The 12,816-nt window shown below is 37.9% G+C and overlaps 1 protein-coding gene across 5 annotated transcripts in view, besides 1 other annotated feature; it reads left to right on the top strand.

Annotated features, from left to right (window-relative positions):
- Positions 1-12,816, top strand: part of CARNMT1 (carnosine N-methyltransferase 1) — a 47,641-nt gene that overhangs the window by 3,240 nt on the left and 31,585 nt on the right. For all 5 annotated transcript variants that reach the window (NR_135282.1, NM_152420.3, NM_001320497.2 and 2 more), the window contains exons 2-3: positions 7,743-7,938; positions 8,760-8,923. Coding sequence is in view for 4 of the 5 variants with exons in the window: in NM_152420.3 (NP_689633.1) it covers positions 7,743-7,938; positions 8,760-8,923 (360 nt within the window). In the remaining variant the exon portion in view is untranslated. The remainder of the gene's footprint in view (positions 1-7,742; positions 7,939-8,759; positions 8,924-12,816) is intronic.
- Positions 1,060-1,109: an enhancer, noted in NCBI's record as "active region_28469". NCBI's record gives its function as "activates an Ori minimal core promoter by ATAC-STARR-seq in GM12878 lymphoblastoid cells {active_cell/tissue: GM12878}" and the evidence as "EXISTENCE:reporter gene assay evidence [ECO:0000049][PMID:35858748]".

Here is a 12,816-nt window from a genome sequence, read left to right as displayed (position 1 = left end):
TGCAGGTGCTCCCAAGAAGCAGAGAAAAAAGACATTACAAGAAAAAGTTGATTTGTTTGATATGTACTGTAGATAGAGGTCTGCAGTTGGAGGTTGCCCCCCAACCCCATTTCAGACAGAGGATTCATCTTGTAATCAAATTATGTAAACTTATAGTATTGATAAATGCAGTGCAGTAGTGTAAATGTATTTTCCCTTTCCTACGACTTTCTTAATATTTTCTTAGCTTTATTGTAAGAATATAGTACGTAATATATTAACATACAACATATCTGTCAGTTGTTTATGTTATTGGTACGGCTTTCGGTCAGTAGTAGGCTATTAGTAGTTAAGTTTTTGGTGAATCAAAGTTAGGTGTGGGTTTTCGACTGCACAGGGGGTTGGTGCCCCAACCCAAGTATTGTTCAAGGGTCAGCTGTACGTCCAGATTTTGCAGGGTTCAATTTTACTGCAAAATGTCTTTTAGTTAATACGTAGGAGATTTAGATAAAAGGTCATAAAGCAAGGAATGTCTTTTGATTAATATTTTCTCTTTCTAATGGGTTTCAATTTTGTGATTCCCACAGATTTTGCTTAGATGACATTCTCATTAAGGTAAAAATGGATATAGCTCATTTGTATTGAATAGCAAAAATGTTAGTTTTATAACCCAGTCTTGTTACGAATGAAGCACCTCAGCACATAGAAAACACTAGAGTTGAAAAGCTGAAAGTCTTTTCAGAAACTTCTTACTTTTAGAAATAACGGGGTGAGATTTTTTAATATTGAGATTTAGAACTGATTTTTACAGGTGAGGATGTGGATAGACACAAAGCGGTAAGCAACTTGCTCAGGGTTACACAATCCAGTTGTGGTAGAATCTGACCTAAAATCCAAAATCGTTACCTAAAATTTTACTGTGCATTAATGAGGAGTTATACTAGTAACACAAATTTAATGTTAGGTATTTAATAAAGATTTAAAATGAATCAAGACAGGCCAGGCTTTGTTTCTGACAAGTTATGTTTTTTCTATTTGGATTTCCTAGAGTAGTTCAACTAGGTGCAGAGGAATGGGCCTGTGACCATGGCCTTTAGATCAGACCTGGTGTGGGCTCACCCTGATGACAGGTGACTAAATCAGAGTTGAGGTCACTGCTGACACCAGGTTTCTAGAGAGAGTTAGAGGTAGAGATACCACCATTGGGGAAAAATGGCTACTAAGTTTACTTTCTCCTCTTATCAGCAAGAGGATGTCACCTCCTGATGCTGACTTAGTTCAGAACCAAGGAGAGTCTGATTTTTGTAAAATACTCCTTCAAAGCAGGTTTGGCAGAGTTTCTTAAAAGGGCCAGGCAGTAAATATTTTAAGCTCTGAAGGCCAAGTGGTCTCTTGTTACAACTCATCAACTCTGCCCTTGAATGGAAGGAGCCTTAGGCTTTGTGTAATCAAATAGTGTGGCTTTGTACCAATAAGACTGTACAAAAACCAGGTAGCCAATGGGCCCCTGCCTTAAAGCAATTCTGATAGCGTAAGCATGTGCAGGATAGTGAAGTTAGCCCCAGTTATAAGGGTATAATAAGGATTGGACTATATTCTCAACTTTAGTAAGATCCCACCTATTTTAAGAGTCACTGGTGGATGTATGTTATGGCAGCTTTGCACACCATTAAGTAACCAGGGGTTTAAGGATCTCATCCTGCTCTGTGTAGTTACTTCTGTATCAAAAATTGACAGCTCTTGTAACCAATCTATAACTTATCTCAACTCACCCTTGCAACCTTGATATTACTTGGTGATAAGTAGTCTCCATGGAAAACCAAAAGTGGCACCCGTGGGAATATAACTGAACATTTATTGCTTTTTACATATGCTGAAATACGGAGATATTGAATAATGACCAAGATGACACTTGTGTTTTAGAATAATTCTTCTGATTAGAGGTGGGGCAGGAAGGGCAGGGGAGGAGTTAGGAAGTAGAATTGAAAAGTATCCTGGGTTTATTGATTGTGGGACTAGGAGAAGAGGCATTTAGGATGACTCCTTAATTTCTTTTTCTTTTTTTTTTTTTTTTTTGAGTCTTGCTCTGTCACCCAGGCTGGAGTGCAGTGGCACAATCTCAACTCACTGCAACCTCTGCCTCCCAGGTTCAAGCGATTCTCCTGCCTCAGCCTCCCAAGTAGCTGGGATTACAGGCGCATGCCACCATGCCTGGCTAATTTTTTGTATTTTTAGTAGAGACAGGGTTTCACTGTGTTAGCCAGGATGTTCTTGATCTCGAACTCCTGACCTGAAGTGATCTGCCCACCTCAGCCTCTCAAAGTGCTGGGATTACAGGCGTGAGCCACCATGCCCGGCTGATGACTCCTTTAATTTCTAACTTGGGTGCATTTGTTAATCTTAGCCATGAAGGAAGGAGGGCAGGTTTTTGTGGGGCATGTGCTAAGTTCACTTTGGATATGAGTTTTGAGTATGGTGAGAGGGAAGTTGTGGGGCATCCAGAGCCCGGGAGTAAACACTAGGAAGAAAGCTCTGTGAGGCTGTTCAACTGTTGAAGCTCTGCTGTTTGCCTAACTTGATGTGGCCATTTTAGTTCCTTTAATGTCATACTCTGCTGTTAGGAATGTAAATTTATGGAGTCTTTTTGCACATCATTTTATATCAAGAGCCTTAAAAATACTAACTCCTGGCCAGGTGTAGGGGCTCACGCCTATAATCCCAATATTTTTGGAGACCAAGGTTGGCAGATCACTTCAGGTCAGGAGTTCAAGATCAGCCTGACCAACATGGTGAAACCCCATCTCTACTAAAAATATAAAAATTAGCCGGGCATGGTGGTGTGCACCTGTAGTCCCAGCTACTTGGGAGACTGAACCAGAAGAAGCGCTTGAAGCTGGGAGGCAGAGCTGGCAGTGAGCTGAGATCATGCCACTGTACTCCAGCCTAGGTGACAGAGTGAGACTCCATCTCCAAAAAAAAAAAAAAAAAAAAAAAAAAAGTATTCCTTCTCACCTGGTAATTCTGGTTTTGAGAGTTTATGCTAATTTTTTTCCTAAATTATAGACAGATTTTGAACACAAAATGTTCATCACAAAAACAAGTGAGTGTCTAAATGCCCAGTAGTTGGGAAATAGCTAAGTCACTGATGGTTACCTAAGATGGAATGATGAACATCCACTTTGTACCCCACAAATATAGACAATTATAATTTGTCAGTATTCAGCTTAAAAAAAGTAAGATGCTAGATGACTTTTTTTTTTCTTCTCTTTTTTGGAGACAGGGTTTTTGCTCTGTTACGCAGCCTGTAGTGCAGTGACACAATCATAGCTCGCTGCCCCCTTGACTTTCTGGGCTAAAGCAATTCTCCTACCTCAGCCTCCCAAGTAGGTGAGACTACAGGCATGCACCACCACGCCTGGCTCATTTTGTTTTTTTATTTTTTTGTAGAGAGGATGGTCTTGCTATATTGCCCAGGCCGGTTTTGAACACCTGGCCTCAAACAGGCTTCCCACCTTGGCCTCCCAAAATACTGGGATTACTGGCATGAGCCACTGCAACTTTGTGTTAAGCAAAACGGAAATGTGCCAAAAGGTTAGAAGTGGTTCCCTCTAGAAGAGGAATTATTAGGCCTTCTTTCCTGAGTACTTCTAATTTCTACATTGTTCATGCTTTGAACATTTTAGTAATATAAATGAGATATACCTACTCCTTTTTTGAACAGTAGATATATATATATAGTATATATATTTATCCTATATATACTATTTATATTATATATACTATTTATACTATATATAGTATGTATATAGTATATATACTGTATATAGTAGATATATACTATGTATATAATATATATGGTATGTATAGTAGTATATATACTATATATAATATATATGGTATGTATATAGTAGTATATATACTATGTATATACTATGTATATATACATATATACTATGTATATACTATGTATATATACTCTATATAGTATATTGAACAGTAGGTATATATATAGTATATATATTTTGAGCGCTTGCTGTGTTTTCAGCTGTTGGGCTAAATCTTTTGAGTACGTTATTTTTCCAATGAAACCCTGTCTGCTAGGCAGAGGAAGGTAATGCTACCTACCTAATTATGAAGATCTTTCAGAATAATCCGTATTAACTGACTTGGTTTAGTCCCTGGTATTTATTAAATCTCAAATGGCAGCTTCCATGATCATCATCATTGTTCATTCTTATCTTGCTTCTGTATATGAGAGAGTTGGACAAAGGAAGGCGGTAATTTGCCTGGTGTCATGTGGCAAATAGGTGTCATAACCTGGATTTCATCCCTGATCTTTCTGACTTCAAAGCTCATTATTATACTCTCCCCAGAGGGGCATGTCAGTGGAGCTTCTGACAACTTGATCTCTTCACCTTATCCCTAAGGGCCCCCCACACCAAGCCACCAAACACAAGCTTGTAAAAACGCGACCAGCCAGGTTTTTGGTTGTTTGTCAGGAGCTTCTTCTGAAGTTCATTACTGTTTGGCAGTTGGAATAATTTGGCAGAGGGTAAAAATAAGAAAATTGTTTGGATGAATGAAGATTTAAGAAACCAAATGACAAAGATATTGAAAATGAAAGTGAAATTGAAAATGAAAATGAAGGCTGGGTGCGGTGGCTCACGCCTATAATCCCAGCACTTTGGAAGGCGGAGGCAGGCAGATCACGAGGTCAAGAGATCGAGACCATCCTGGACAGTATGGTGAAACCCCGTCTCTACTAAAAATACAAAAATCAGCTGGGCATGGTGGCGCGCACCTGTAGTCCCAGCTACTCGGGAGGCTGAGGCAGGAGAGTCGCTTGAACCTGGGAGGGGGAGGTTGCAGTGAGCTGAGATCGTGCTACTGCATTCCAGCCTGGGCAACAGAGCAAGACTCCATCTCAAAAAAAAAAAAAAAAAAGAAGAAAAATGAAATAGAAAATGAAAAATACTTCCATTTTCATTTAATATTGAATTAATACCAAAGAACATTTAAACATATACACATACATATATAGATATAAAATGTAAGGAATATTACAGTGAACACTTATAAATCACCTAGTTTTTAAAACACATTATCCTGTCTCTTTCACCCTCAGAATCATTAACCTGAATTTTTACTTCTTTGCTTTCTGTGTAGTTTTTCCACATATGCTCAGTCCCTAAATAATATTTAGTTTTCTATGAAATGCAATTGTACATTATGTATTTTACTGCAATTGTTTTCAACAAATGTATATGTTCTTGAGGTTATCCAGATGGTGATGGGAGTAACCAATTTCTGCCAAAATATATTTAGAGGTTTGTTCTGGGCCAATATGATAGTGACTGCAGCCTGTGGTTACACGATCTCAAACAACCCTGACAAAGTGCACCCCAGGTGGTCAGGTTACAGCTTGGTTTTATACATTTTAGATACAGGAATTACATGCAAGGTATACATTGATCTCACTCAAAAGGTAGGACATCTTAAAGAGGGGGTTACAAGTCATAGGTGGGTTTTAAGGATTCTTCAGCTGGTAGTTGGTTGATAGAGGTAAGCTATGGTAAGTAGAAAGGAATGCTTGAGTTAAGGGGCTTGTGAAGGCCAAGGTTCTTGTTAAGTTAATTGAAGCCTCCTAGGTAGCAGCCCTCAGAGGGAAGAGATACTAAATGTCACTTTTTAGACTTTAATGTTATCAGGCTCTCAGTTAATCTCTCCTGGATCCAGGAAAGGCCTAGAAAGGAAGGCCTGGTTGCATTAATGGAGATTCTTGACAGATGCATATTTCCCCTAGGAAACATGGCTTTGTGGGGCCATTGAAATCCGTTGGCCATGTGGCAGCCATTTCAAAATGTCAAATATATTTTGGGGTAAAATATTCTGATTTCCTTCTGAGTCTGCTATTTGTCATAAGATGCCATACCAGAGTCAGGTTGGAAAGTAAGTCGTATTATATAGGGTTAATAAAAACCTGTCCAGTGAGATTTCGTAATTAGTAAGGCATGACTCCCCAGGCCTCTTAGTGAAGAACTTGGAGAAGAGAGAAAATATAAAAAAGATCAGCGTTTAGTCTTCACATATTATTGTATGAGCTGTAATTTACTCATTTCGCTGCATTCCACTGTATAACTATACTGTAATTTCTTCATTCTATAGTAACTATATGATAATTTCTGATAGTAGACCTTTGGGTTGTTTCCAGATATTTTATTCCTTTTTTTTTTTTTTTTTTTTATGAGATGGAGTCTCACTCTGTCGCCCAGGCTGGAACGCAGTGGTGCAATCTCGGCTCACTGCAGCCTCTGCCTCCCGCGTTCAAGCGATTCTCCTGCCTCAGCCTTCCAAGTAGCTGGGATTACTGGTGGGCGCCACCATGCCCAGCCAATTTTTATATTTTAGTAGAGATGGGGTTTCACCGTGTTGGCCAGGCTGGTCTTGAACTTCTGACCTCAAGTGATCCGCCCACATTGGCCTCCCAAAGTGCCAAGGGATTACAGGGATGAGCCACTGCGCCCACCTGTTTCTTATCTCTAACAGTGCTATGACAAAGATTGTTCATGTTTCATGGGGCCCATTTGCAAGAGTTTCTAGGATATAATTGCTAGGTCATAAGGCAAGTACCATGCTAAGTTGTACTAGGTAATGCTCTAAATTTAATTTTCCAAAGTGGTTGCGCTGATGTATGCACTTACCATTAGTGTGTAAATGTCCTAATTACACCATATTTTCACCAATCACCAAAATTTGATATAGTCAGGATTTTAAATTTTGGCCATCTTGTCAATATAAAAATGATATACTGTGAGTATATATTTAACTTTAAAAAATGATGTTCTTATGGCCAGGCATGGTGGCTCATGTCTGTAATCCCAGTACTTTGGGCGACCAGGGCAGGCAGATTGCTTGAGCCCCGGAGTTTGAGACCAGCCTGGGCAACATGATGAAACCCATCTCTACAAAAAAATACAAAAATATTAGCCAAGTGTGGTGGCACATGACTGTAGTCCCAGTTACTTGGGAGGCTGAGGTGGGAGGATGGCTTGAACCTGGGAGACAGAGGTTGCAGTGAGCCGAGACTGTGCCACTGCATTCCAGCCTGGGCGACAAGAGCGAAAATCCCTCTCAAAAATAATAATAATAAGTAAATATAAGTAAAAATTATGTTCTATTTTCTGGTTTTATGAATAAGTAGTCCCCAAAGTGACCTTTGGGTTCGTTTTTGGAATGCAAATTGTGGGTATTGTTAAGTAAAACACTATAGAATTTTAATTTTTTATTTGCTTAGTAATTTGTAGTATATAAGATCTTCTATGATATTTAAAAAAAATCAACCTGGTTAGCTTTTAGTTAATTTCAGGACATATTTTGTGTGTATTATAATTTCATAGCAGTATTTATTTTGCTACTTAAAGATGGAAAAATCTAAAGCTGGTTTTGCTGAAAATTTTAAGTTTAAAACACAAAAATAAATTAATTGTACATTAATCTTCTTTTTCCTCTTCTAATTGGTGCATATGTTTACTTTTACTAGTGATAAACCATTTGTATTTTGGTTGCTTAGAGAAGGACTTGTAATAAAGTAAAAACATTTACAACTTTATAAGTTAATGCCTTTTTAAAGCCAAGAGATTGTAAATGATAGGACAGTATCCAGCATAATAAGGAAATAATTGTACAGAAAGACAACCTTAAAGTAAGATTGGCCTCTGGTGAGAATTCTTTTGTGAATTTAAAAAACACCTTTTATGTTTTAGCACCAGTATGCATGAGCGGGTGAACCGAACAGAAAGACAGTTTCGATCACTTCCAGCTAACCAACAGAAACTACTTCCTCAGTTTCTTCTTCACTTGGACAAGATCCGGAAATGCATTGATCATAATCAAGAAATACTACTGACCATTGTGAATGATTGCATACATATGTTTGAAAATAAAGAATATGGAGAAGATGTATGTGAAAGTTTGTTCTATTTCTGTTTATTTTAGGGTCAACCTCTGTATTTTGAGGTCTTTTATTTTCTGGATTTCATTTTTATAATCTGGCACAGGCTATTTGCTCTACTCAGAAAGTTTTAACTTAAATGTTCAGTCATTTGATTAGGCTTAATAGCCAGAGACTGGATCTGTTCACTTGTTTTCCTTTTTTAAGTACTAATATAACTGTTGAGATTTTGATGCATTTTGACATAATGTTCTGTTTTGGAATACAGGGTTAGTGACTTAAATTTTTAAAAGCAACTTTACTAGCTAGAAATTAATTTCCCTTGCTTAACTCATATTTTTTCAGTGTCTTGTATCTATTGCTGTTCATCTTTTATTGTAAGAAATTGTTTTCACTTATAAATCTCAAGGGACTGGCAGTACATAGAAACTGAAGTCCTCTTTTTGTATCCACAGGATGGATACAGTTGGGCCACTCCAGTGTGAGCCTCTCCATGCTGCCCCATCAATGACCTGGAGGGACTTTCTTCCCTCTCTTAGAGAGGATGTTCGGTCTCCATAGCAGCTCAGTTTGGTCCTCTCCTGAGTAAAGACTGCTTAATTATATGGTGGTTTTATGATTAATGGACCTTAATCTTTTGAGGGTAGCAGTGAGACCACCAAACTCTTTTCATTTAGGATCTCAAGCTGCACTTGAACCCCAGTTGAGGTGAGAGGCTAGTGATTTATCCACTAAACCACCTATATAGCCCCTTAGTAGCATGTCTATTTAACCATAATATAAGTGGATTACTCTCTCAGAAGCTAATTGATGTCTGTTTTTTAAACAGGGGAATGGAAAGATTATGCCAGCATCTACATTTGACATGGATAAGTTAAAATCCACGCTGAAACAGTTTGTGAGAGACTGGAGTGAAACTGGGAAAGCAGAAAGGGATGCCTGTTACCAGCCAATCATTAAAGAAATTTTAAAAAATTTTCCAAAAGAGAGATGGTAAATAGTACCTCATTTTTAACCAAGTTTTTAAAGTGTATGAACACTTGAGTTTCTTGATAAAATGTTTCACAGTCTCGCTTCATTGTTATAGTTGCTGTGTGCCTGTATGTTTTACATGTGTAAGTGTTAACATTTGTTATTGGATGCTCTGTGTGAGATTACAGTTGTTATTTTGAATAATTTTTATGCTGGTGCTTAGGGGAAATTACTTAGAAATTAAATAATAAGGTTAGGTCGAAAATTATCAATGATGTGTATCTTTTTATAATTTGCTTTATGGCAAAGCAAAAAAACTAAACTTTTAATTCCCCTCATTATGACATAGTTGTAAACAAGTGAGGGATCTGTACCTCTGAGCAAGCAGAGATTCTTAACTTTTTTATGCCTTGGAACCATTGTTCAGTCTGAAGCCCATGGTCTGCTTTTCAGAATAATTTTTTTTTTATTTTATTTATTTATTTATTTATTTATTTATTTTTTTGAGACAGTCTCACTCTCTTGACCAGGCTGGAGTGCAGTGGTGTGGTCTTGGTTCACTGCGACCTCTGCCTCCTGGGTTCAAGTGATTCTCATGCCTCAGACTCCGAAGTAGCTGGGACTGCAGGCTTACACCACCACGCCTGGCTAATTTTTGTGTTTTTGGTAGAGACATGGGCTCACCATGTTGGCCAGGCTGGTCTCGAACTCCTGACCTCAAGTGATCCGCCTGTGTCTTCCTCCCAAAGTGCTGGGATTACAGGTGTGAGCTACCTCACCTGGCCCAGAATAACAATTTTAAGTGAATAAATTTAAGTGCATATGATTACAAAGAAAACTGATTTTGAAATACAGTTATCAAAATATTTAAAAAGTAAATTTGTGATGCATGTTTTTTTAAATCATATATCACTTTAAATACAATTTAGCTGCAAGTATAATTATGAAATGTATTATGAAAATGCTGAATGGGATATACACTGTTTTGAGAACTTCAGCTAATGTGAAGTGAAAATATGTGTGATTTCTCTTCGTGATAAAGTCATAGGTATTGCTAAAACTATTGTTTGTTGCCTGCATCCGTAATTGAGGGGAAAAAATCAGTTTCTGAAATTAAAATGTAATTTTTTCCCATTCCCTTCAGAGACTCAGTGAATTCTATCCACAGACCTCTTGATGGATAGAATTTAATCCACCTAACCTCTGTCCCAGGTTAGGAACCCCTGATTTAGGGGTATATATTTAACGAAAGCTATTGGATGGAATTCAGTCTTATTTAAAGATCTTTTAGAGAGGCTCCTTTTCCTCCTCTCCTTTGCCTCCGTATTGATTGACAACTTTACGTTTGAGTATTTGCTTTCAGAAATTTCAATACATATGTGTCTCTTCTCTCTCTTTATTTTTTGTTAGGACATTTTATTTTATTGATTATTATTTATTTATTTATTATTTTTATTTTTCACTCTGTTGCCCAGGCTGGGGTGCAGTGGCGCTGCTTACTGCAACCTCCGCCTCCTGGGCTCAAGTGATTCTTGTTCCTCAGCCTCCCGAGTAGCTGGGATTACAGACACCTACCACTATGCCTGGCTATTTTAACTATTTTGAAATAACTTTAAAATTACAGATAAATTGCATGAATTATATGGAGACCTCCTGAATTCACTTATACTTTTTACTTGAATTCACCAGTTTTTAACATTTTGCCACATTTGCTTTTATTGTTTCCTCTTCCGTCTTCCCTCCCTCCCTCTTTCCCTTGCATTATGTATGTGTGTGTCTGAAACCATTGAGAAAATTTAACCCTGAATACTGTTAGGTAATTTACAGTCTATATTCAAGTTTCATAATTTACTGTGGTTCATACTGATAACTCTTAATTCCAGTCCCAACTCTATAGGGTTATCCTTGGTTTTCCCTCTTTTCTGTATCTGTTTACCTCACTTCCAACAACATCAATACGTTTACTTATTCGCCCAGTTGTCTACAGTACACACAGAATGGTTTCAGAATTGCTTCATCCATACCTCTGTGAAAAAGAAACCTACTAAAAGGAGTTCGGGATTTGCTAATAGTTATTTTTCCCTTAGACTAAGGTTGTATAGTGAATTTATTCTTTGCAGTTTACCCAAATTAGCTCTCCCTTTAATCTTCAGCCTCCTGGTGTTTTATTCCCTCCCTTTATTCTATACCCCATTTGGATAATCAGTATCATTGGCATCTTGTTTATTCATCCTTTTATTCTTGGGGTTTTTTTTTTTTTTTTTTTTTAAGTAAGTGGATGTGGTTTTTTTTTTTTTCTCTCTCTCTCTCTTTTTTTTGACACAAAGTGTTGCTCTGTCATCCAGGCTGTAGTGCAGTGGTGTTATCGTAGCTCACTGTAGCCTTAAACTCCTGGGCTCAAGTACTCCTCCCACCTCAGCCTCCCAGCTAATTTTTTAGTATTTTTTGTAGAGGCAGGGGTCTTGCTATGTTGAACAGGCTGGTCTTGAACTCCCGGCCTCAAGTGATCCTCCTGCCTCTGCCTCCCAAAATATTGGGATTACAGGCATAAACCACTGTGCCTGGCCTTTTTGTTTTTCTTTATAATTACCCTCTTTGGTCATCCACAAAAGATAATATAGCATACATGTATTCTGTACCTTGCTTTTTTCACTTAGTGTATCCTGGAAATAGCTATGCTGTCATTTCACAGAGATCTTCAGTCATTTTTTTTTTTCCCAGCTGAAGATTACTCTGTTATTTGGATGTATCATAGTTTATTCAACCAACTTTCTCCTACGTTAGGTTATTTAGGTAGTTGGCAGTATCTAGCAATTATACATAATGCTAAAATTAATAACTTTATGCATATGTATTTTTATATTATTGGAGGTATAACTTTAATTTTTATTTAAAAATAACTTTATTTGATAATCTTTTAAAAAATCCATAATATAATTTCAGAAGAAATTTCTCCTGATTTCCCCTTACCACATTTTAGAATATAAATAATGCAGAAGGATCTGTTTATTTTTCTTTGCAGCAGTTCCTGACCAGTCCATGGTGAGAAATATCAGTTGGCACTTAATTGCACCATAATAAATTATACCCAGTAAGGATGATTTTTCAGGTCTCCGTGCATGGGTTATGGAGATTTTCCATCATGCATCTTTTTCTGCTGCAATTATAGGGCCTGTATATACTTATGAGAATTGGAGCTAATATCAAAGACAAAAAATTGTGGGGCCCTTTCCCCGACAGTCCACCAAGTTTTGAGGAAAAGAAGTATCAGTTGAAATAGCTCTGAAGAATTTATCTTCCTGGTTCTGATAAGTAGATCTCATGGTCTCTGATTTAACAGTACATATAGATAAGATTTTTTTTTTTTTTTTGAGACGGAGTCTTGCTCAGTCGCCCAGGCTGGAGTGCAGTGGCACGATCTCGGCTCACTGCAACCTCCGCCTCCCGGGTTCACGCCATTCTGCTGCCTCAGCCTCCCGAGTAGCTAGGACTACAGACGCCCGCCACGACGCCTGGCTAATTTTTTTTTTTATATTTTTAGTAGAGACGGGGTAGATAAGATTTTTTAAAAACACAGTGTAACAACTTGAACTTTGCCGTGCAAACTCTGTAACCCACTGTCAACATAGTTCTGTATTTGGGCATGGATCATTCTGAAGAAAAATGGAGCTCAAATTTTTAAAAAATTCTTAAAACTTGAAGACCTGTCCAGGTGTGGTGGCTCACGCCTGTAATCCCAGCACTTAGGCTGAGCCGGATGGATCACTTGAGGTCAAGAGTTCGAGATCAGCCTGGCTAACATGGCGAAACCCCGTCTCTACTAAAAATACAAAAATTAGCTGGGCATGGTGGTGCACACCTGTAATTCTAGCTACTCAGGAGTCTGAGGCAGGAGAATTGTTTGAACCTGGGAG

The sequence above is a fragment of the Homo sapiens genome, chromosome 9 (assembly GCF_000001405.40).
Source record: "Homo sapiens chromosome 9, GRCh38.p14 Primary Assembly".
NCBI lineage: Eukaryota > Metazoa > Chordata > Mammalia > Primates > Hominidae > Homo > Homo sapiens.
The sequence above is the reverse complement of the archived record's forward strand: the minus strand, read 5'-3'. Positions and strand labels throughout refer to the sequence as shown.